The following is a 24,406-nucleotide window of genomic DNA, read 5'->3' on the forward strand; positions in this document are numbered from 1 at the left end:
AAGGGCTTGATTCAGGAAAAGAAGGCACCGCCTAGGTTGGGCACTATTCACAGACCATGTTAGGAAGACACCTGCTGGCCCACGGCCCTGGCCCAGGAGGCCCCCTTGGAGATTCCCATCAGGAAAGTCTGGTTATGTGCATAGTCCTAAAGATTCCCCCAAAATCAAAGGCTTCCTCCCAGAGTCCTGGCAGAGCAAGGTCATTCCACAGACATGCCAGGAAAGACAGGCAGCCAGAGTCTCTGTGGGCCTCCCTCACTGCCCCTGTCCTAATCTGCACTCATTCCTAAGCAGACCTCCATCACCAGCTTCTTCTAAACAGCACTAATTCTGTTCCTTTTTCCCTACTCCAGGACTGAGAAGACGTCAAGGTCCAGACACTCGTCATTAACACCTACTCACAACCGATTCCCCCACCCACTTTGGCCTCACCAAGATTTGGCAAGCAGGAGAATTAAATGTCACTTTGCTACCATCCTCTGCTGAACCTCCAACAGAAAAACCCATATTGCCCAAGTACAAAGCATGAAATACTGCTGGCCTACCCTGACTTTTCAGCTATTCTCCTTGCATATAGTAAATGACTCCCCAGGAGACATCATCTTAAAGTCTGAGACACAAAAAAGGACCCAAAGTCCTATATGCTTGAAGAATTGCATGGCAATATATTTAGTTAACATTTTCTATTTTATTAGAAAAAACAGACAATTCAATTGTCGATGTGATCGTTTCAGGCTTCCCAGCCTCTCCTTTCTGACATCATCCTATATACTACAACCTCCACCAGAAAAGCAGTATGGTACTGGGAAAAAGAGATCTAAAGGCAGAACACTAGGGCTTCACTCTCAGCACTGTTAACTGAGTGACTTGACTAAGTCACTGAAATTCACTGAAACTGCAGTTTCCCCTTCTGTCAAAGGGGGATAACAATATCAGCTTCACAGGGTGCTGTGAAGGAAGCAAATGAGAAAATGAAAGTGAGCATCCTTTTAAATTATAAACAGAGAATAAGGGAGAGGGGAGGGGGAAGGGGAGAGGAGGAAGAAAGGAAACAATCTGCCCTCCCTCACCCCTTCACACTAGGTAAAATAAAATGTTTAGACAGAAAAACCTAAAGAAAAGGATCCAAATAAAATATTCTTAGGAACTGTCAAAGGGAGAAGACATTGGAATCTCCAAATCTGGCCAAGAGCTCAGCCTAAGCAGCATGTTTTGAACTCCTGAGTCCTTGGAACCCTGCACTAAAGCTTTGGGACTCTGACCTGCAGGAAAAAAAAAAAAAAAATGCTTCCCTCAGTTCATTCCCTGTAGTTTAAAAACAAGAGCAACTAAAGGGCAAGCTTCGGGGGCAAGGGGAGACAAACACCTCAGACCATTAACTTACTTTATCCCCATTGGAAATCAACTTCTGGAGAACATTTCAGCTTTGTATGCTCTTCTTGGTCCCACTCAAATGGGAAGTTCTGCTCGAGGCCAGAAATAGAAAACAGGAAGTCAACAGAACTGATTTTCCTAACTGCCCAAATGCAAATCACCACACTCCGTTATGGATGAGAATTAGAGTAAAATGTAAACTTCTTTTTAAAAAGAAGTTCACATGCTAACTGTGTACAGAAAACATCCTACTCCAGGGAAGAAAGAAAGAAAGAAAGAAAGGAAAGATCCATCAGCTTCCTTCCTTAATAAAGGAGGATTGACAGAGCTGGACTGACAGTGAAGTAAAGGTTACCGACGGTGTGCTCATCAGAACCATGCTGCCACTAAAAATAATGAAGTGTCCCACTTTGATGCGACACTATTCTCCAAGTTGGTTCCTCTAAAGGTGCTTTTCTTCAAGGGAAGCAGATACTAAAGTGACAACTTTCTCATTACCATTCAGACTATTTTCTTAGAGTCCCAGGTTTGAAACTTTCAAGTTGAAACTCTAAGCTGCACCCACTGCATACAGACTTCTTAGTCAGTTTCTGTCACGTACCATCATATCTACCTTATTTGCATCAGTCATAAATTCTGCTCATTCTTCTATCACAGCTCCTCTGACATTTGCCAGACCTCACCATTTCCTCAGCCATTTCTGGTCTGAATCATCAGCCCCCCATGCCTGCTGCCTGCTCTCTTCTATAAACATACCAGATGAATCTTTCCAGCATGCTGCTTCCCCTGCCCCCAAGTCAGCCACAGTTCCCTACTACCTATTGATCACATCTGAGTTGCCTCAGCCAGTGGTCTTGCCATATCTACCTAGCTTAGGCTGAGTGTTATAGGAGAAAGTGCACTAGCCCGGGCACCAGATGGATCAGGTAAGACTCTAGCTTAGGTAAGCTTTATCACATCATATAGTGGCTGTGTGGATTGAGGAAAATTATGAAACTTCTTTGCACTTCAGTTTTCTCATTTGCAGAATGAAGATAATAACACCTACCTATACAGTTACTAAGGATTAAATAGGATAATATGCACAAAGTGACCCTAGTGAGTTTCAGTAAGAAGAATTAATGCTTATGAAGTGCTTATCACATTCCAGCTTCTGTTCTGTGTGCTGTGCATGTGTTTATGCAGGTATTATTATTAACCTCATTTTGCAGAAGAGGAACTTGAGGCAAGAGAGAGCGTGTAAAGTCACATAACAAATCCACAGAAGAGCTAGCCTTTGAACTCCAACAGCCTGACTCCAGTGCCTGCATATGTAACTCCATGCTCTACTGCCTCCCATTTCCCTTTCCCTCCAACTTTCACCGGCTAACACAGCCCACAGGTCCACCTCAGTCCTTCTCATCCTTCCAGTCTTCCCTCCACATTCCAACTACCTGTGACAAATGCTATCCTGCATTTTCTCTCCAATCTTACCTGACATCTTGAAGGGAGCAGTTCAGTTACAGCATTCTCTCCATACCCAACTATACCATCTCTCTACTCTTTATCTTGCCCTCACATACACATAAGTTTGTCATTGTTCTTCAGTTCTTTGGGTAATCTCTTCCTAGAAACTGCATCTAACAAATAGACCACATCCCCAAATTCCATCATGTCCAAAAAGAAGCACGGTATTTCCATCAACACCCCAGCTGCCATCACCAAGCCAACTCGCCTGACTTCCATTCACTTACTAGCAAACATTTACCAAGTATCTGCCATGTTCATTTTGTCAATGAGAATGACATGGGACTTGTTCCTCTAGGAGATCACAGTCTAATGAGATCAATGTTTATATAGAAAATGTAAATAGGTTGTGATAAGTACTAAATGCACGCTGCTAATGGCATCATCACCTCTGGCTCTTCTCAATCCTGCGTTTCCCATGTTGTGTCATGCAACAGAGCTGTCACACTGCCTCTTCCTCTTCATCTCTGGTGCCACCTGTGATTTACTTGCACACTACCTTGTTTCTGAACTATTGCAGCCCCTCCCAACTTATCTCACTGCCTCATTCACCTGCCTTTCAAAACTGGCCCACCTCCTGCTGCCCAATAACCTGATGTTGTCACTCTCATATTTAAAACCCATAAGTGCTGCCGGGAGCGGTGGCTCACGCCTGTAATCCCAGCACTTTGGGAGGCCGAGGCGGGCGGATCACAAGGTCAAGAGATCGAGACCATCCTGGCCAACGTGGTGAAGCCCAGCCTCTACTAAAAATACAAAAATTAGCTGGGCGGGGTGGCACACACCTGTAGTCCCAGCTACTTGGCAGGCTGAGGCAGGAGAATTGCTTGAACCCGGAGGCAGAGGTTGCAGTGAGCCGAGATTGCACTACTGCACTCCAGACTGGTGACGGAGCGAGACGCTGTCAAAAAAACAAAACAAAACAAAAAACATATCAATGCTGATGAACCAAGTGCAAAGCCCTGAGCTTGGCCAGGCAACATAGCCTGGAAACCTGACTTTTAATCCTTACTTTGCTCTATTCCCCCAACATACACACACTTCATACACCACACCTAAAAGAGACTTCCCACAGTTTTCCAAAAATGACTCACATTTATATTTCCTGTTTTTCCCTTTGCCCACCCTGCCCTCTCTCCCTCTGCCTTCATTTTTTTAATTAACCTCTGGAACTCAGGTGCTCCTGCTCCAAGGTTTAGGTCAAAAGTTACCTCCTCCATGAAGCTTTCTCTCATTCTCCCACAATGTGTGAAAGCCCCATTCTCAGATTTGCTTAGTTGTGCATTTGTATATTCTACCTTGCACTACAGTCATTTGTATATTTATCTTATGGTTTCTGTGCCTTAGGAAAGGTACACTGTCTTAATCATCTTTGTTCAATACAGTGCCTAGCAGAGTGCCTCAAGTATAATATGTGCTCAATAAATAATAGATGCATTTTTCCATGCATATTTTCTACTATATCGAAGTGGAAAATATATCCATGTGATATAGTGAAAAATATCTCATGAAGAGAGATACAGTGAGGAAAATATCTCATGAAGACCAAAAAGCAGAAATCCAAGTTTTTTCTTTTCATTACTATCATCAGTGATTATTAATTTTATGTGTCAACTTGGTTGGGCTTAGGGATGCTCAGATAGCTGGTAAAATATTATTTCTGGATGTGTCTCTCAGGGTGTTTCTGGGGGAAATTAGCATTTGAATCAGTAGACTAAATAAAGAAAATCTGCCCTCACAAATGTGAGCCAGCATCATCCAATTTATTGACAGTTTAGATACAACAATAAGGCAGAAGAAGGTGAACTCTCTTTCCTTGAGCTGGGACATCCATCTTCTCCTGCTCTGACATTGGAGTTTCTAGTTCTTGGGACTTCAGATTCTCCCCTGAAGTTTCTCAGGCCTTTTGGCATCAGACTGGAAGTTATGCCATTGGCTCCCCTGGTTCTCAGACCTTTGGACTCAGACTGAATTATACCACTGGCTTTCCTGGTTCTCCAGCTTCAAGATGACATATTGTGAGACTTTTCAACCTCCATAATTGCATGAGCCAATTTCCACAATATATCTCCTCTTATGTATCTATATATTTCCTATTGGTTTTGTTTCTCTACAGAATCCTAATAGATCATCTAATTGTTTATCTAACAAGTATTTTCCTCCCTAGACAATATGTTGGGCACTAGGGACACAAAAATAAAAACACAGACATCTGCACTCAATAAACTTACATTCAATATCAGAGAGATTGGCACAGAATACAAATAAAATGAGATACATGCAAAATAATATGAATTGCAAAATTACGGCAATTCACCACCAACTAGGTGTGTGACCGTGGGAAAATCACACTGTGAGCTAAATATTAGCAAGTTTAAAATGCAAAATCAGAGGCAGTCTATGAATTGGACTTTGCTAATGGCCTCCTTTGCTGATGGATGGCACATTGGTGTTAGAAAGTGCTTATTTTTGCAAAGGTCCATTATTGATGCTTTAATTCTAAGGAAATTATGTAGGCAGAAACTAAAGAAAGGTTAAAAAAACAGCAGCTAAAATTGATACTTAGACAATAAAAAACTAATTATAAGTGATTTATCAGCACCACTAGATAACTACATTGGTGAAATTTAAGGCCATGAAATGCAGGACAAGCCTCGTAGGAAGCAAGGTCCCAGTGGATGAGATGCTGTCCTCTGGGCTCCTAACCTTCCACCACTAGTATTCACCATATCTGATTGGAAATGTGTGCATGTGAGTCGGCCTCCCCTCTATGATGTGAGTAGGGACCTATTTTTGCTCATCTCTGTATCCTCTACACACGATGCTTGGCACACAGCAAGTATTCAATAAATGTTTATGAATGAAGCAATCAGTCATTGTCACCAAGAATTTACTGGGAATTTCACATGCTAAATCTAGAACAAATGATGTGGTTCCTACCATCAAATAAAATCTGTGAAAACCCTAAGACGTAAACTGCAAACCATGACTTGGTATTAGAGAGGGGTCGTTATCAAATGAAAACAACTCAGCCGCCAGGAAGTCATTTCAAAATAACAAATTCTCTTTCTGTTATTTCTCAAATGCTGTGAAAAGGAATCTCAGTCTGCCGCAACAATTCACAAAGCCCCTTCCTTTCATGTGGTCACGTCACATCACACAAGCCCTGTCATGCGCCTCTCTCCTTCATACCCTCCCACCAAAACTGATCTCCCAGACCTAGTCCTCAAACCTGTGCCCTTCTAACCCTCTACCTTTTCCAGTGATTCTGTATCACAAAAGCCCAAAAGAACTGCTCTGGCAAGATCTAACAGTGTCTGAAATATCGGGAAGTAAAAGAAAATAAATAGGCAAAACTAGAACAATTCTTTGTAGGCAGTAAAACAACATCTCAGATCTACCATATGTTATAAATGTTGGCCTGATGGCATATAAAAAAAAACTTAAAGGTGCCCAAAAAATCAAAAATGGTAAAAAGAAACAAAAGTGTTTAAATGTTTTAAGCATCTACAATGTTTGGGAGATTTGAGATGCTCAATCACAAAATATTTATTAAGAACCTACTCTAAGAATTTGTTTTGAAAGAGATACTGTGTCAGGGGTACCCAAGACCCCTGCCCCCTACATTTGGACATCACTAGAAGGACCCATGGGACTCAGTGTATGGCAGTACTTAAAGCTAAGATTTATTCTAGTGATGTAATAAGGATACACAGCCAGATCATAAGGGAGAGCCACAGGCAGCGTCTGAATGATTTTACGTGCAGATTTCCTTATGCTTCTGCCTACCACGGGAGATCACATAGAGTACAGCAAGGAAAATGTAGCAACTTGTATATGACGTTTCAGCCCACAGAAGCTTCTTTTTAGAAACTCGGTGCCCAAGGTTTTTCATGGAGCTGATCACATAGGCACCCTCTGCCTAGCACATCAAAATATTCCAGACTCCAAACAGGGGAGCAGGTGTTCAAGCATAAACTGTGTTGTTTGCACAAAAGTCTAGGCACAGTGAACCACACTTATCAATTGACTGTTGACTGAGAGCCCTCCAAGGGCTCAGTTCCCAGTTACCAACCAAAGGCTAACCTGGCAAGCAGGCCTTTCTAAGGGTAGCAGTGTCAAGCCTTTGTAGCCTGCACAGATACAAAGGCCCAGTTTTTGTTTCAAGGCAACTAACATAGACAGAAATAAGATTTATACATAAAAATATGCATTGTATACAGTACTATCCTAGATAACACTAAAGAAAAAATTCCCAAAATGTCCTTGAGCACTTTTATCAGCATCATCAGGATGCTCGTCAAGAGGATGCTCGTCAACCTAGTGGCTACAGCCCAAAGCACCCTGAGCAATAGAAGAATGGGGCATCAGTAAGAGCCACAGGCTGAGGGGAGATTACAGAAGACCTTGAATACCACGATGAGACTTTGAATTTGATTTCATCGTCTTAGAAAGCCACTGAAGGTTTTATTTTTTCTTCACCAGATGACAAGATCAAAACAGCATTGTTTGAAGGTGAATCTGATTACCTATGTAGAATATGTTGAAAGAGGCTAAGGCCAGAGGCCAAGAAACCAGAAGCTCAAAAGGAAAGAAAATGATCCTAATATGTAAGGACCACTCATTAGGAATTAGACTCTGCTCAGGGTGCTTCCCGTGAATCCTGTCAGCCTTCTAAGGCAGTTGCTATTGTTCCCATTTTGTAGCTTGCCAGTGTCATGCAAGTCAGGACAATAGGAAAGGAGCAGGGAATAGAAAAGTAAATAGATAAAGAACTGAGAATAGAAAAAGGAGTGGTGGGCCAGTGCCCGAGGCAAGGGAGAGGAAGTCATCACAGGTAACTCCTGAGCATATCTTGTTCTTTTCTTCCTTTGGACCTTTTATTCTAAGAAGACAGGGAGAAAGTCATCTTCCAAAAATGGTGGACCGTAAAAAGGGAGCTAAAAGAAGAAATAGTCAAAATTTTCTAAATGAGGTAATAGAGGTGAAGAAGGAATAGGATGTTCCACCTTCTTCCTGACTCAGACAGTAAGGAGTGGGTAAACTGGTAGCATTCTTTTATCTTCACTATCTCAGAGAAATTTATGCTATTAAAATAGTTTCTTCTTGATTGTTTCCCTGACATGATGCAACCCCAAAATCACTTAATAACTGAGCTACTCTTGAGACTAATTATTAAGGTATCTAAAATGAACACCCAGAAGCATCACAGTCTCATGAGGACACATTTATTAATCACTTGATTCCATAAAAGGTGTTAGTGATGCTACAGTGAGACACTGACCCCAAGGGCTTTAGAGGACACAACACAGAAATCTGCTCGATTGATAAATATCCATCTTAGTTCTTACTTTATAAAACCCAGAACTAAGTAACAAGACATGACAGGCCACTATTTAAGGGGAATTAATCTGTTGCCTCAATTGACATTTAAGCAGGAGGCCAAAGACCATTAGAACAAACTGAAATTAATTAATGTAGCAAAATAACTCAATACCAGGATGCTGATCTTATCTTGTTGAAAATCACTCCAAGATCTTTATTAGTCCTTAACGTAACTTCCAAGTGAGCTGCCTGTATCTTTCTTATTCAGAATCCCTATTAGCCAATTGAAGTGCTGGGCAGTGTGGCCAGGAAACAAGAAGGAGGAACTTGAACAAAATCCTTAAAATAGACCTCACTCCAAAGGCTTATGGAATGTCCCCCGTGATTGGGGAGAATTCATTCTGATTTTGGTAACCAGCTCAGTTACAGCTTGCTTGAGAATTCTTTTCCCCTAAGAGGTAATGCCAGGAAAAAGTTATATGAAAGGATTTGCTCTTCCTCAGTGTAATTTATGTATTTCTTTACATTTCAGCCTGCCTTGTACTTCATGCAGGTTGAACAGAAATGTTTTCTGAGCATGTATTGTTACAGCCCTCTGAGATGGTATAAAAGAATGAAAGAAGACACGACCTGCCTTCCAGGAGTTTCACAAAAAAGATGGGATGAACACAGGTAAAAGCAAGATGAACATATGCAGGTGACTATTTATGAACAGCAACTAAATGCATAGGTTATGGGATGTTGAAGAGCCAAGGTTTAAATCCTCTCTCCACTAGTTACCACTTGGAGCAAGTTGTATATTCTTTATAAGCCTCAGTTTCCCCTTCTGAGAAACTGGGTTGATAGTACCCACCTCATAAGGTCCTTGTCAAGGGTGGTAAGATAATAAACATAAAATGCTTGGCACATAAAAGGAGTTCAACAAATGTTAGCTACTATTATCATAAAAATTATTATTCTTGTTTGTACTGCTATTACTACTACTCCTAATGCCTTGCTACTCTCATCTATATTTTGTCCGATACCTTAAAGACAGGGAGGCTCCCAAGCTGCATGCAGTGGTCCAGGTCAGAGAGACTATAATGCGTCTCAGGCAGGGAGGCCAGGAGGCTCAGGGTCTGTCAAAAATGGCAGGGAAAAGCATTTCTAATGGAGGAGATGGCTGTGGAGAGGAGAGGAGTAAGCAGAGCCTGGATAAAGTAAATAAGTACATTTGCTCTAAATGGCTTTCTGAACTGAGAAAGGGCACATGTTCACAGATCGTATTGAGAGGTGACAGCGTGCTGGCAGCCCTTGCAGCCCTCGCTCACTCTCGGTGCCTCCTCGGCCTTGGCGCCCACTCTGGCCGTGCTTGAGGAGCCCTTCAGCCCGCCACTGCACTGTGGGAGCCCCTTTCTGGGCTGGCCAAGGTCGGAGCCAGCTCCCTCAGCTTGCAGGGAGGTGTGGAGGGAGAGGCGCTGGCGGGAACCAGGGCTGGGCACGGCGCTTGTTCTGGGTGGGCCCGAGTTCTGGGCTGGGCATGAGTTCTGGGTGGGCGTGGGCTCAGCAGGCTCTGCCCACAAGGCCCAGGAAGTGAGGGGTTTAGCACCTGGGCCAGCAGCTGCTGTGCTCAATTTCTCACCAGGCCTTAGCTGCCTCCCCGCAGGGCAGGGCTCGGGACCTGCAGCCTGCCATGCCTGAGCCTCCCCTCCTCCCACCCCCGCCCGCCCGCCCCTGCCATGGGCTCCTGCGCGCCGGAGCCTCCACGAGGAGCGCCACTCCCTGCTACATGGCGCCCAGTCCCATCGACCGCCCAAAGGCTGAGGTGTGCGGGCACACAGCGCAGGACTGGCAGGCAGCTCCACCTGCGGCCCCCGTGCGGGATCCACTGGGTGAAGCCAGCTGGGCTCCTGAGTCTGGTGGGTACTTGGAGAATCTTTATGTCTAGCTAAGGGATTGTAAATACACCAATCAGCACTCTGTATCTAGCTCAAGGTTTGTAAACATACCAATCAGCACTCTGTGTCTAGCTCAGGGTTTGTAAATACACCAATGGATGCTGTTATCTAGCTAATCTGGTGGGGAGGTAGAGAACTTTTGTGTCTAGCTCGGGGATTGTAAACGCACCAATCAGCACCCTGTCAAAACAGACCAATCAGCTCTCTGTAAAACAGACCAATCGGCTCTCTTTAAAATGGACCAATCAGCAGGACGTGGGTGGGGCCAGATAAGAGAATAAAAGCAGGCTGCCCAAGCCAGCAGTGGGAACCTGCTGAGGTTCCCTTTCATGCTGTGGTAGCTTTGTTCTTTCACTCTTTGCAATAAATCTTGTTGTTGCTCACTCTTTGGGTCCACACTGCCTTTATGAGCTGTAACACTCACTATGAAGGTCTGCAGCTTCACCCCTGAAGCTAGCAAAACCGCGAACCCGCCGGGAGGAACGAACAACTCCCGACATGTGGCCTTAAGAGCTGTAACACTCACTGCGAAGGTTTGCAGCTTCATTCCTGAGCCAGCGAGACCGTGAACCCACCAGAAGAAAGAAACTCCGAACACATCCAAACATCAGAAGGAACAAACTCCAGACACGCTGGCTTTAAGAACTGTAACATTCACTGAGAGGGTCTGCGGCTTCATTCTTGAAATCAGTAAGACCAAGAACCCACCAACTCAGGACACAGTGTGATTTTCACAGCCGGAAATTGACTTGGAAATCCTTAAGTTTTTTTTAATGCAGCTTTTGGATAGCCATAAAAATCTTATACCTTCCTTTAATGTTATTTAAATTTTTGAAATAAGTTCAGTAACAAGAAAACAAGATGGACACAACAGTAACTTTAAAACGATTTTCTTTAGATCTTAAAAGATACGTATTTCAGCCAGGCATGGTGGCTCACGCCTGTAATCCCAGCACTTTGGGAGGCTGAGGCGGGCAGATCACGAGGTCAGGAGATTGAGACCATCCTGGCTAACACGGTGAAACCCCGCCTCTAGTAAAAATACAAAAAAAAAAAAAAAAATTAGCCCGGAGTGGGGGCAGGCGCCTGTAGTCCTGGCTACTCGGGAGGCTGAGGCAGGAGAATAGCATGAACCCAGGAGGCGGAGCTTGCAATAAGCCGAGATTGTGCCATTGCACTCCAGCCTGGGTGACAGTGTGAGACTCCATCTCAAAAAAAAAAAGATATGTATTTCTTCCTTTGATTATGTGGCTACAATGTGAGCACTGAATCTGCTTGCTGACGGCCAGCTTTTCACTCCTAAGGAAATGGAGAAAACAGAGCCAGAGGTAGGCTACTCTCCATGTCAAGCTTATCTGCTGCTTTATTTTCAAATACCTTAAGACCCTTTCACCCTGACTCTGATACACCCCATAGCAGGCCAGGACCCTTCTTATTCCAAAACCATAGTTTTACAGACAAAGGGACAGTGAGACTCCAGTGACTTACTCTTAGCCACACAGCTAGTTGGCAAAGAAAGAAAACAGAAATCGTGCTGATGGAGAGGAAGATTCAGAGGAGGAGGAGAAACAGGATAATGCAGGCTTATAATAATTTGCTGTGGGAAATCAAATGATGTGGGCAGCAACAAAGGGACTTAAGCAAAAAGATTTTTTAGGAAAAGAGACATAAGCAAAAAAGGGACTTCAGCAAAAAGAATTTTTAGGAAAAGCATTCTTGCTGCTGTATGCAGAGTGCAATAAATAACCCATGTCATTAACCCATGTCCTTATCTCTGCACCTTTTGCTACCAGAACCTAAAATAATACCAAGAAAATATATTTAAAGGTAAAATCTGGTGGTGGTTTGTTTTCATTTGAGTAAATTTTCTATGTATAATCAGTGATTAACCCATTTTAGGAATGAAGTAGAAATGAAGGGTTTTCTCCCCAGTGGTTATAACAAACTTGAAGGCTCTATGGCTAAAAGTACAAATTCCCTTTTGTTGCTTCTTTGTTGTTGTTGTTGTTTCTGAGATAGGGTCTTTGTGTTGTCCAGGTTGGAGTACAGTGGTGCCATCACGGATCACTGTAGCCTCAATCTCCCAGCCTCAATCAATCCCCTCACCTGAGCCTCCCGAGTAGCTGGCATGCAGGAATGCATCACCACACCTGGCTAATTTTTGTATTTTTAGTGGAGACGGGGTTTCGCCATGTTGCCCAGGCTGATCTTGAATTCCTGGGCTCAAGTGATCCACCCACCTTGGCCTCCCAAAGTGCTGGGATTACAGGTGTAACTGCACCCGCCTATAGTTTTTTCAAGGGCAAAAAATTACAAGTTGAGCACTCATGAGCTTAGAGTCTTTTGAATGTTCTCCAAATCAAAAGTCAAGTTTTAGTCCTACTTCCCCTAAGCAGAGAGTTCTTCCCAGCTTAGAGTTTCATTTCAAAGAACTGATGGCAAAGATTTTTCAGGTACAGTTCTCATATTTGAAAGCTTCATTCCTTCCCAGCACAACTGTGTGCATATTGACCTAATACAGACCTGTGTTTTTGGTAGATTCTCAGAAAATGTTTGATGGTGACCTTGGCCTTTGGGACTTGGCCACCACCCTTAGCTTTCATAGCCTTTTCCCAGAGGGAACCAGATGAAAAAGGAACTTCAAGCCTGGAATTATTCTGTTTAGCCACTTCTGTTGCTTACCAAAGGCTTTGCCAATGATAATACTGATAAAGGGCAACATAAACACATCTATGTGTGAGTTGCCATCTGAAACTGAAGTTAAACACACTTGGTGCTGACCAATAAACTGTAGTGCTTTTTCAGAAGAAAAGAGAATATTCCTTTTCTCTTGGAGCCATGGAAAACAGGCAATAGTATGAGGTAGGGGAAACTCCAGAGTTTCTATATAGGAAGGGACTGAAGCAGGAATCTACCTAGAAGAGAAGCCTAGGGGACTTGACTTTTTTTTTTCTTGATATGATTTGAATGCCCCCTTCAAAACTCATGTGGAAATTTAATTGCTAATGTAATGGTATTGGGAGGTGGGCCCTTTAAGAGGTGATTAGATCACGAGGGCAGAGCCCCATGAGTGGGTTCCTGATAAAAGGATAAGTTCAGCCTCCATTTGCTCTCTGTTTCTAGTGTTCACTTCCACCTTCCACCCTTTCACTATGAAGGACCCTCACCAGATGGTGGCACCATGCTCTCGGACTTCCCAGCCTCCAGAACTGTAAGCCAAATAAACTTCTTTCTGTATAAATTGCCGTTTGTGGTATTCTGTTATAGCAACAGAAAACAGACTAAGACAATACCTAACACGATGTTTTGATATACATATTGTCAAAAGGCAAAACTATAACAAATTTAGTTTTAAGATCTAATTGGCTTCTATTTGTGATTCTAGAATTCAGCAGTATTGTATTCTATAAATAGAATGAATGCTCCACTGGGCATGGCAGAACAATTGGTTTTTGTAAAGTGGGAACAAGGAAACAGAATAATAGAAAAAGGCAGATCGGTTAACATCAGATTACTTCAGGTTACTTTTCTTATAAGGGTTAAAACTGTGGAGATTTCCTTATTATACTGACTTAGGCTGACTGGGCCCTTTCTAATTGGTTTCTGTGAATCTTCTGTTTTCAAAAATATCTGGTCTGTTTGGAAATTTACCTGCTTTCTTAAAATTTCAGTTTAATCATGTGGCACTTAGCGTGTGGGACTCCATTTTGCTTTGGTTTGTTGGGATCTAGAATGAGAGCTTCCATAAATTTTATTTAACAATATGCATAATGACATGATTACCACATCAAGCAAATTAGCATATCTATCATGTTACACAGTTACCTTTTCTGTGTGCGTGTGTGTGTGTGTAGTAGAATTACCTAAAATCCACTCTGTTAGCAAATTCCCTTATGAAATAAAATATTATTAACTACAGTCTTCATGCTATACATTAGATCTCTAGGCTTATTTATTCTACATAAATGAAACTTTATACCCTTTGACCTCCATCTCCCCACTCCCCCACTTTTCCTACCCCTGGTAACCACCTTTTTACTCTGTTTCTACATCTTTGAATTTTGTTTCTTTTTTTTTTTAATTTCGCATATAAGTGAGACCATGTAGTATTTTTCTTTCTGTGTCTGGCTTATTTCACATATTATAATTTTCCTCTTGGTCCATTCATGTTGACACAAATGGCAGGATGTCCTTTTTTAAGACTGAATAATATTCCATTGTGTATGTGTGTACACACACACACACACACACACACACACACACAATTTCTTTATCCATTCATCTATTGACAGCCAAAGGTTGTTTCCATATCTTGGCTATTGTGAATAATGCTTTGAAACATGGGGGCACAGATATCTCTATGAGGTGATTTCATTTTCTTTGGATCTACACTAAGAAACAGGATTGCTGGCTCATATAAGAATTTTATTTTTAATTTTTTGTAGAACCTCCATATTATTTTCCACAATGGCCTCTGTATTCCCACCAACAGTATACAAGGTTCCCTTTTATGCATATTCTGGCTAACACTTGTTATCTCTTGTGTTTTTTATAATAGTCATTCTCACAGGTGTGAGGTAATACTGTGGTTTTGATTTGCATCTGCCTGATTAGTGATATTGAGCACCTTTTTATATACTTGCTGTAGGAGGCTTTTCTTGCAGCTGTGTTTGCAAACACACTGCTTTTACAGAGATTGCATATGTATTGGGAAGCTCCTGGGATCTTTTCAGAAGAACAGCAACAGCTTCAGCTGAATGGAGCTGATGAAGATGGAGGTGGTTAAGCCCCTAAATCCAAGCCATCCCCTGGTCTCTCTACTGAAGACTAAATGAATAAATGAAAGGCCAGAGGGGAAAAAATCTTGAAAAATGAGGAAAATCAAATGTTTGTGAGTCTGATCTGGTATAAATCTCCGAAATCTTACAGTGTTTAGACCCTGGGAGCTTCCAAACACAACCATGTGAATAGTTCAGATGCCTTGCTTGGAGTGATCCAAGCAAATCATTCCATATCCATCCTATGTATTATCTACTTTGTTAATATTCTGTGCTGGGTTTGAAAAAAATAATAAAATAAATTGCCTTTTTAAAGAAATAATACCACAAATAGTGCAAAATTCAAAGGTACACAAAAAATATAGTGAAACATAACACTACTTCCTACCCCATCACCCAACAACTGTTACATTTCTTGAATATACTTCCAAAGCTGTTCTATGTATATGCAAGTATATACGTGCATGTATTTTTATGTAAAATTTACATATGACATACATAGGAAAGTGGTTTTTCAAGCTATTTTTTACTGTGATCTGCAAAAAAAAATGAATTTTCTCCTCTGTTCCATTGATGTAGCTATCTGTGCACCACTACCATAGTGCTGTAACGATTATAACTCTATAATATGTGTTCATCAGAGCATTCATGCTTCTCATTACTATTCTGATTCAAGATGTTTCCTAGCTATTCTTGCTTTTTTCATTTTTCCATATAATCTGTAGAATTAGCTTCTCTGGGCATACAGTCCTTTCTTGCATATCTTAGCACCAATTGTTGTTTATGTGTGTAAAGACTATTCTAGCCACACTACTCAATTCTCTTATTTTTTTTTTCTTTTACTATTGTTGGCAGTGATCTTTCAGTTAATTTTCTTGGGTTTTCAAGGCACAGAGTTACATTATTTGCAAATATGATTATCTTACCTCCTCCTTTCCAACTTGTACATACCACTCTTCTTTATCTTATCTAAAAGTTTGTTAGCACCTCAAGACCAATGTTCAATAATGTTGTGGTAATGGCATCTTTGTCCCAATTTAATGTGAGTGTATGGTTTGCTAGTTAAACATGACCTGGCTTTTGAGGTAAGACAAATATATTTTACTAATGTGATAAATTTAGTTCTATTTGATGAGGTGTTTTTTCATAATCAATAATGGATTTTAATTTTATAGCAAACATTTTCAGCAACCATGAGTGCGGGCATATGGTTTTACTGTTTTTTACATATACTAGGATGTTAAACAATATCAATAGATTTCCTAATATTAAACTATCCTTCCTTTCCTGAAAGGAAGGACATTCTACTGTCCTCCTGGAATATGTTTGCTAGTATTCTATTGAAGATGTTTGTATTGATAGTCACAAGAGACATTAGACTTTCTTTTTATTATTTTTGTTGTTCTGTGGCATACTGACACCAGTGTAACCTCCACTTTATAAAAAGTAACTAGAGTCTTTTCTTCTAGAAGAATTTTAAAAGCTTTAGAGTGATTGAGTCATTAAGGTTATGAAGAGCTCACCTGTAAAAATATCTGTGCCTGGTAGTTTGGAAGACGGATAGCCTGACTTTCCTGTTTTTTCTATTGTAATTGGTCTCTTTAGATTTTCGAACTCTTCTGGGGCCAGCCTTAGAACTTTATCGTTTCTAGAAATTACATATTTTATCCAGGTTTTTACATTTATTTGCTTATGGTACATATAAGTCCTATAATCTCCTTTAATTTTCTCTATCTATAATTATTTCTCAATTCTTGTTTTCTTATATCATCTATTTCTGCTTTTTCCCTTTAAAAAAAAGATGGGTGTTGCACCATTATTCACAATAGCTAAAAGGTAGAACCATCCAAGAGCACATAACAAAATCAATTGTATAAACAGAATGTGGTATGTTATGTACAACAGAATATTATTCATACATAAAAAGGAATGAAGTTCTGATACATGCTAAGTGAAATAAGCCAAACAAAAAATGACAAATATTATATTATTCCACTTATATGAAACATCTAGAATAGGCTTCATAGACACAAAATGTAGACTGAAGGTTACCAGGGGCTAGGGGGTAGGGAGAATGGGGAGTTACTGCTTAGAGGACACAGAGTTGCTGGGGTGATGAAAAAGTTCAGAAATCAGTACTGGTGATGATTGTACAACATTTGCATATAATTAATGCCATTGATTTGTATATTTTTAAATAGCTAAAATAGCAAATTTAGGTTTATATTTTTAACCACAATTAAAAAGTTATCATTTCAAAAAAAGAGCATAGCACACATTTTTACTTAAAAATTTTTCAAACACAACTCATAGACTTTATTTTGGCATTTTTTAAATTTTCCAAATTAATTAATTTCTGTTTTTATCTTTACTAATTTCTATTCTGCCTTGTCTTTATTTTACTTAATACATTCTGATATTGGATGCTTAATTCATTTAATTCTTATTTGTTACAAGTATTTAAAGTTATGAACTTTCCTCTAAGTACTGCTGTAACAAGATCTCATAGTCTCTAATATACAGTGTTTTAATTCGTGTTGCTTTCCAAATATTCTGCATTTTTAGCGATGACTTTCTCTATGAGACTGAAAAATTATATAGAGAGTGTTCTTTAATTTCCAGGAGGTAAAGTTATTTTTTTTTCTCTCTTTAACATTTGAAGTTTTGCGTTGGCATGACATAATGTCTGTACTATTTCTATGTGATCGACTGCATTGCAGTTTTCTTTGTGGCTTCATATGTAGTTAATTTTTGTAACTGCTCCATTAATACTTGAAAGGAAAGTGTAATCTGTCTTCATAGTATATAGTTTGTTGTAAAGCTATTAAAACTATCCTTGCTTTTTTTCCATATGATTTCTCCATAGTTAAAAGATAAGCGTTAAAGTTTTCTACTGCTAAAGGATTTCTGCCTATTCCTATTTTCTGTAGCTTTGACACCATGTTTTCCATGCCAATTTATTTATCATATTGAACTGCATTGTGAGTTACATCCTTTATTATTATCAAGTTCCCCTTTTGTCTTATTTCATGTTTTTTGTTTTGAATGCAACCATAGTTATGACAGCTGCTCTTTTTTTTTTTGCATTTGCTTTGCATGTCTTTGCCTAATTTTTATCTTTATTATCCTTTCTGAGTTTCGTTGTTTTAGATGCATCTCACATATTACAAATAATTTGATTTCCCTTTTTTGTAAATTTGAGTCAATAGGTGAATTAGACAATTTAAACTTTTTATGGTAATATGTTGAAATGTTGTACTCTCATTTATGTTAGGATTCCTTTCTCTTACTTTTGATATTCCACTACATAGTCTATTTTGTTATCATGCCAACTTAATTTTTCACTCTTATTTTTTATTTTTGCCTGGATTCTAAAATTTTTCATTGGCCTTGAGGGCCAGTATGTTTACTTGGATACCTCTCAATGTTGATCATTCTGTATCAATTTTTTCTGAGCTACAGTATGCCCTTTCCATTTGTAGATTCAAGTCTTATTTTATTTCTAAAGAGTTTTACTGAGTAATATCTCCAGACTTCTTCTTAAAAGATACAAATAATGCATATGTTGCAATTCTTTTGTTTTCTGTATCTTTCATGTTCTCTCTAGTTCACTCTAACTTTGTTCATTTCTGGTTATTTTGCTTATATCTTTTGTTTATGTGTCTTAATGTTGCCCTCCTATTCCTCACTGTGATGTCAGCAGTGTTTCTTCTTAGTGTTTATTACAGTATGCTTGCATTTCCATGGTAGCTTTATTTTTCTCTTCTGCTTCCTTCCTGACCTTCAGAAGTTCTTGTTTCATTTCCTCCTGTGGTGGTGCTAGTATTTCCCCTGATCTCTCAATTGCTCTGCTTCCAGCCTCTTCATTGTTTCATTAAATTCATTGTTCATAGACATTTATTTTGTCATAATTTTCTACTTAATGGCAACTTGTTATTGGTGAGGATTCTTTATGTTCCCCTGTCCTCTTCCTCCTTTTGTCTTGTAAGTTATTTGTATAGATCCTGTGCTAGTTGCCTTTTTGTTACTCATCTTTAAATGAAGTGTGTTCTTCCTGATGTTGGAAGTGATCCAGGGTCTTGTTGAGAAGGGGATGAGCAGTTCCAGGCTAGCAAGAATTCTCCCTGGTTCAGGGACAAACTCATGATGACAAGACTATATGTGCGGGTTGTTTGAATTTTTACCTCTCTCCAGCCAACAGGCATTGGCAGCTACAGAGCAGGAGGCAATTCAGCCTCTCTCCTCCACCCTGCCTCACTAGGACACAGACTGATTGCAGCATTTCTGCACATTTTCTGCAGTTCTGCTTGCTCCACTTTCCTGTGAGGTCAAATGCGGTAAAGGGATGCTCCAACCCTACCCTCCATGTACCTGCCTTTCCTGTGATTCCGAAGAAGGGGTGGTTGGTTTTGCCCTCAAAGTGCCATCTACTTAAGAAAACAGTTTCCTGCCAGCTTTATCTGAGACCTGTGTTCCCAAGCACTCCCTCCAGGAGCCTTTGTGCACCCATATTTGATCTTCACTGCATTGAGAGCCTCTCCAAATATTATCTTTTGGGAGTTAGTCTTCAAGGTTTATCAAATATGAAATTCATATTTCTGTCCCTGTTTTCTGGCAAATTCTAAGGAGAAGGGTAGAAGACATATCTTTTGTCTGACCTTTTAAATGGAAATCCCAATATTTACAAGAGGTAAAAGGAATTTTGAAGTAAACATAAAGAGCAGCCTTAAAGTTGGGAAATGTCCTATCAGGGGAACATATATCCTGCCAATTAGTCATGGAAGAAGGTAGAACAATTACTTGACCTTTGCTTCAGTGGTTAGGGACCAGAAGAGCACCATGCAGACTATGTTCTTGCTGTGTATAACTGTTCCCTCCCTGTGAAACTTATTTCCCCCAACCCCTGCTTTCCGTTATGTTTGTCCTTTAGAATCTTTGGTACCAGCAGCATCAGCATCACATGGCAGCTTATTAGAGATGCAGAATTTTAGGCTCCTCCCCAAGCCCCAGAAGCAGCACAGGAATCTGCATTTAACAAGATCCCCAGATATTCATATGCACATAAAATTTGGGAAGCACCACTGTGGATCTCAGTTCAAGCACCAATTTGCTTCACTGATCAATCACATCAGGTTCCTGTTACGCATACTCATAAAATGATCCTTCAGAGCTCTCGCTCTGTAGCTGTGCATTTATTATGATAATTTTTTTCCTATTCCTGTGTATCTCTCTCACTAAACTAGTGTCAGGCTCTATGGCTTATCCCACAACCAATCAATAAATATTTGCCAAATGACTAAATGGATGTGCAAAATTCATATTTGTATCTGAGTATTTTTAAAGCCAGTTGGCACTGCCCATTCTCCTGCTAGTGGTCTCCCTGCCTCAGACTCATCCATGACTGCATCAGCCTTGGACTCCTCAGCCCAGCTCTCAGACTGGCCCTTCCAGAAGTGAGTGAGTAAATGAAGGAAAAAATGACATTGCTGAAAAATCCAAGAAATTTCATCATTCAGACCGCAGTTCCTCAACATCTCACATATCTGTAAATGCCACAGAGAGATTGTTTCCTGAGTGCTATTTTGGAAAATATAATCACGATTTTTGTGTGGGAAGAAAAGACACTCCCCACAGACATCAGAGCAGACACATCCCCCCAGCCCTAGTCCACAGAGGGTATATTGCAGGAAAGTCTTACTGAAAGAAAGAGGGGCTACAACAGGGCTGGATGGGTGCTGAAGATGCTGAACTCAGGCAATGGAATTGCTTTTGTCAGTTGCCCTCACCAGGTGTGGCTGTATGACTGAAATTGCCAGTCTCCCCTGCTGGTGGTAGGGACTGTTTTGATTAACCAAGTAGAAGGTGACGGTTTAAAACTAGTTTCCCAATTTGGGTAATTAAACCTCTGCTAAATATAGTAGGTTTAAAATGAATGTTCACAACATTGAAACAGAACATGCTAATTCTAAAAATACAGACTCCCTTGCTGTGAAAGACCTCTCAGGGGAGAACCGACATTGAAGCAAAACAATGATTTCATCCCTCCCGCCCACCATCCCCCAGCCTGTGAACCAATTTGTTTGAAGAGATGAGGCTCACCACACTACAGCAAAGGAACCAGAGCTGTTACCAGACACTAAGGAAACTAATCACAGAAAGTCAAAGGAAGAAAGGTTACAAGGCTGAAATTTCTTTTTGTGGGATCCTGTCCTGCACCAAAACAGGCCAACCAGCACTTCTTATGTCTACTCCATACAAGGTATATAAAACTCAAGTTAGTGGGGAAAGGAATTTTCATTAAGTCACTTAGAAATGAGAGACATGCAAATGAGAGAAACTGACTTTCTTTGAAGAAAGTGTAAACTTTCTAGGAAGCCTCTTTCCTGAATAATTAAATCACAGAGAACCTTGACTCTCTGTGGACTCAAAAGCAATTACACCCAGTTCTTAAACAGAGCTGTTCCCTCATCATAAAATCCCCTGTGCATTTCCCTCTGTATAACAACAAATGGTCCACAAACCTCCTTCAAAGAGTTGTCCTCACTTGGTGACTCCACTTCTCTCCCTGTTCTCTTTTATCTCATTCCAACCACAGAAAAAGCTTGTATTGAGGTCACATGCCTTCATGTTGCTCAATCCAGTGGTCAGTCCTTTCATATCAGCAGCATGTGACAAGACTAATGACTCCCTGCCTGAAAAATCTTCCCTTTTCATTCATTTGGCGTTTAGCCTACCATCCCCTCTTCTTTGTACTCTGACCTCAGTAGGGACGACTTTGCTGGAAAAGAAATTTAGAATTTGATTATGTGTGACCTAATCTCCAGTACCCATGTATTCTATTTTTGAAAGACTTGAATTTTCAATTATATTTGTAACAAAACCGTGTATGTGGAAATGATGGAATAACAGCCTCTTTTTTTCCAAGATGATATGTGCATCTTCAGACCTTTATACAGATGAGCTCTTTACCTCCATCTTCTAAAACTATTAATTAATCCAGAGAAGTGTGTTGCTATAAAATATTCTGTGAAGCATTTTCACTTATTTTTCTTTTCTTTCAAAGAAAACAATATGGCCCAGTTCCTGGCTTTTGAAGAACTAGAGAAAATCATCATCATTGGTGCCTCCAAGGCTCTTTGGTTGGTTCTGCAATCATAGGAACCCTTACCTGGTCTCCTGAGACATTCTCCTCTCTCCACACCATAGTACAACACCACCCACACACCTGATGGCAGAGCTTTTAGGTGAGCTTCTCCATCTTCTGGCTTAGAGTTACCCAGGAATAAAGAATAGCTCCTGTAGCTCTGAATCCTTCAAATCCCCCGATTGGCCCTTAACTGACTTCCTTAGTGAATCTGCAGACTTTTGGATGGGAGACAAATATGCACAAACTATACCTACAATTCAATGTAGGACAAAGGCTACCTGGTACAATATTAATATGTGCCTGCATTGGAGATTTTGGAATCTTAGGACTTAAAGAAGGGTCTAATTCGATTACCTCAGTTCCAGATGAGAAAATGAAGGCCCAGAAAAGCAAGTGATTTGCCTAAGATCTCACAGTGACCAGTGAAGGACCAGAGCTGGACTAGGCTCTCCCGTCAGCAGTTAGGGCTCTTCCCAGTGTCCTTCCTCTTCCACATGCTACTTGCCCTTCACTTTATAGAGTCCTATCTTCTGCAGGGAAATGCATTGATACAGTCCCCTGTGCTTTGATCTTGGTGTTACAGTTACATCTCTAGAGGATTCTTATATAGCATAGTATGTTTCACAGTTGGTCATCATTGGAACTCTCTGTTTTTCTGTGCTCTTGCCTGGACTTCTTTCAAAAGGAATCCATTCATTAACAAATCTTTCAGAAAAAAAAATGTCTGCAGCATTATCAGAAGTTAATCATTTAAATCTAAAGGAGAGAGTAAAAGGTTAGGTATAGTGGATTAAAGAGTTCTTTTTTCGAATGGGCACGGTGGCTCACGCCTGTAATCCCAGCATTTTGGGAGGCTGCGGTGGGTGGATCATCTGAGGTCAGGAGTTCGAGACCAGCCTGACTAACATGGTGAAAGCCTGTCTCTACTGAAAAATGCAAAAATTAGCCGGGCGTGGTGGTGCACGCCTGTAATCCCAGCCACTCGGGAGGCTGAGGCAGGAGAATTGCCTGAACCCGGGAGGCAGAGGTTGCAGTGAGCTGAGATTGTGCCATTGCACTCCAGGCTGGGCAACAAGAGTGAAACTCCGTCACAGAAAAAAAAAAAAAAAGAGTTCTTTTTTCCAGCTGAAGATAGTCAAGCGGGTTATTTTCTACTGTCTTCCTCGGAAAGGTGAGCATTCATTTGTTTCTCTGGCACATTAACATTCTCAACTAAGGTCAGTTGACTGGTTAGAACTACAGGTCTGATTTTCTTCGAGAGAACCCTCAAGATTTCTGATTTTACTTTCTTCCAAAGGAAATGTGTATTTTTTCTTCAAGTAATGATATTCAGGGGTATATTCCCCCTAAGTAATAGGTTAGCAAATTCTGTGAGCTTCAGGACTGAAGACTAATTCTTTTGCAATGCTGAGGTGGGCCTTCCAGCCCCAGACCTGGCCACACCCATCATAAAGATTTTTACTGATGTAATTAATAATTTGTATATGTATGAATTCTTTGGATTATTTCTGCTTTCTCAAGGGATATGTCACATTTATTTCCTCATACTCCCAGACCTGGCATAGAATAGTTAGTCGGTAAACATTTCTTGTGTTAAATTGTTGACTTTTCTTCACTTTTTATGGAACTTAATCTTCTGGCTCAAATCATACTGGCTTAATCATACTGTTCCATACTATACGTGTAGAGTAGATAAAGGCAGAAGGCAGGGCCTATTTATGCTTTTGAAACAAATGTAGTGAGCATGAATTTGTTTCACAATCCACAGGTACATGAAATAACACATTTCTTTACCTTTTACATATCTAATTCCAACTGAAGGAGCCTCTCCCATTCGAGTTGACAGAAAACCCAATCTCAGTCATTCTCTGGCCACCATCTACCCCACCCACCAACATAAGAAGGCTGAGGCTTGTGAAATCTATTTATGGAAGGGCCGCTGGTGTGTCCCACAATCTTTAATCACAGAACCTTGAAATACATTGTCCACCCCAACCTGATTTATTCCATGGTGGGTGACGCTGTTGCTCACTGAATAACAGACTCCACTGGAGTCTTTGCTCTGCGTCTCAAAGTCACTGTATTTATCTACAGGTACCACATTCAGGGATCTTAGCACTCCAACATCCTCCATGATTCAACTTCTCCCCTTCAACTTTCTAGTCCTCCCTAAACATCAATCCAGTGAAGTAGCTCCAGAAGCACAGATCTAGGTAACAAAAGCATCTCCTGGCACAAGGGACACTCAGACTTCTGCACAAAACCATCTAGCTACCCTTCAGTTGATGTGGATGGAGAATAAAAACAGAAAAAAAAAAGAGAAAATATATTTATTTTTT

General features: G+C 40.6%; 1 protein-coding gene and 1 long non-coding RNA gene across 4 annotated transcripts in view, besides 3 other annotated features; one reads left to right on the plus strand and one right to left on the minus strand.

Moving 5' to 3' along the window:
- The window catches only part of PDE4D (phosphodiesterase 4D), a 1,553,091-nt gene extending 1,551,629 nt beyond the window's left edge, over positions 1-1,462 (minus strand). For both annotated transcript variants that reach the window (XM_024446112.2, XM_024446110.2), the window contains exon 1: positions 1,385-1,462. The gene's annotated coding sequence lies outside the window, so the exon portion shown is untranslated. The remainder of the gene's footprint in view (positions 1-1,384) is intronic.
- Positions 1-24,406, plus strand: part of PART1 (prostate androgen-regulated transcript 1) — a 59,945-nt gene that overhangs the window by 32,954 nt on the left and 2,585 nt on the right. Inside the window, exons 2-3 of one of the 2 annotated variants that reach the window (NR_024617.1) lie at positions 8,738-8,877; positions 13,266-13,353. This is a non-coding gene — a long non-coding RNA (prostate androgen-regulated transcript 1). Of the gene's footprint in view, positions 1-353; positions 5,753-8,737; positions 8,878-13,265; positions 13,354-24,406 lie in introns of those variants that run through there. The other variant, NR_028509.1, reaches the window with a different exon arrangement.
- Positions 1,756-1,825: an enhancer, noted in NCBI's record as "active region_22586". NCBI's record gives its function as "activates an Ori minimal core promoter by ATAC-STARR-seq in GM12878 lymphoblastoid cells {active_cell/tissue: GM12878}" and the evidence as "EXISTENCE:reporter gene assay evidence [ECO:0000049][PMID:35858748]".
- Positions 1,976-2,235: an enhancer, noted in NCBI's record as "active region_22587". NCBI's record gives its function as "activates an Ori minimal core promoter by ATAC-STARR-seq in GM12878 lymphoblastoid cells {active_cell/tissue: GM12878}" and the evidence as "EXISTENCE:reporter gene assay evidence [ECO:0000049][PMID:35858748]".
- Positions 7,476-7,770: a silencer, noted in NCBI's record as "tiled region #9229; K562 Repressive non-DNase unmatched - State 24:Quies". NCBI's record gives its function as "represses a minimal TATA promoter and a strong SV40 promoter by Sharpr-MPRA in K562 cells {active_cell/tissue: K562}" and the evidence as "EXISTENCE:reporter gene assay evidence [ECO:0000049][PMID:27701403]".

Source organism: Homo sapiens, chromosome 5 (genome assembly GCF_000001405.40).
Source record: "Homo sapiens chromosome 5, GRCh38.p14 Primary Assembly".
NCBI lineage: Eukaryota > Metazoa > Chordata > Mammalia > Primates > Hominidae > Homo > Homo sapiens.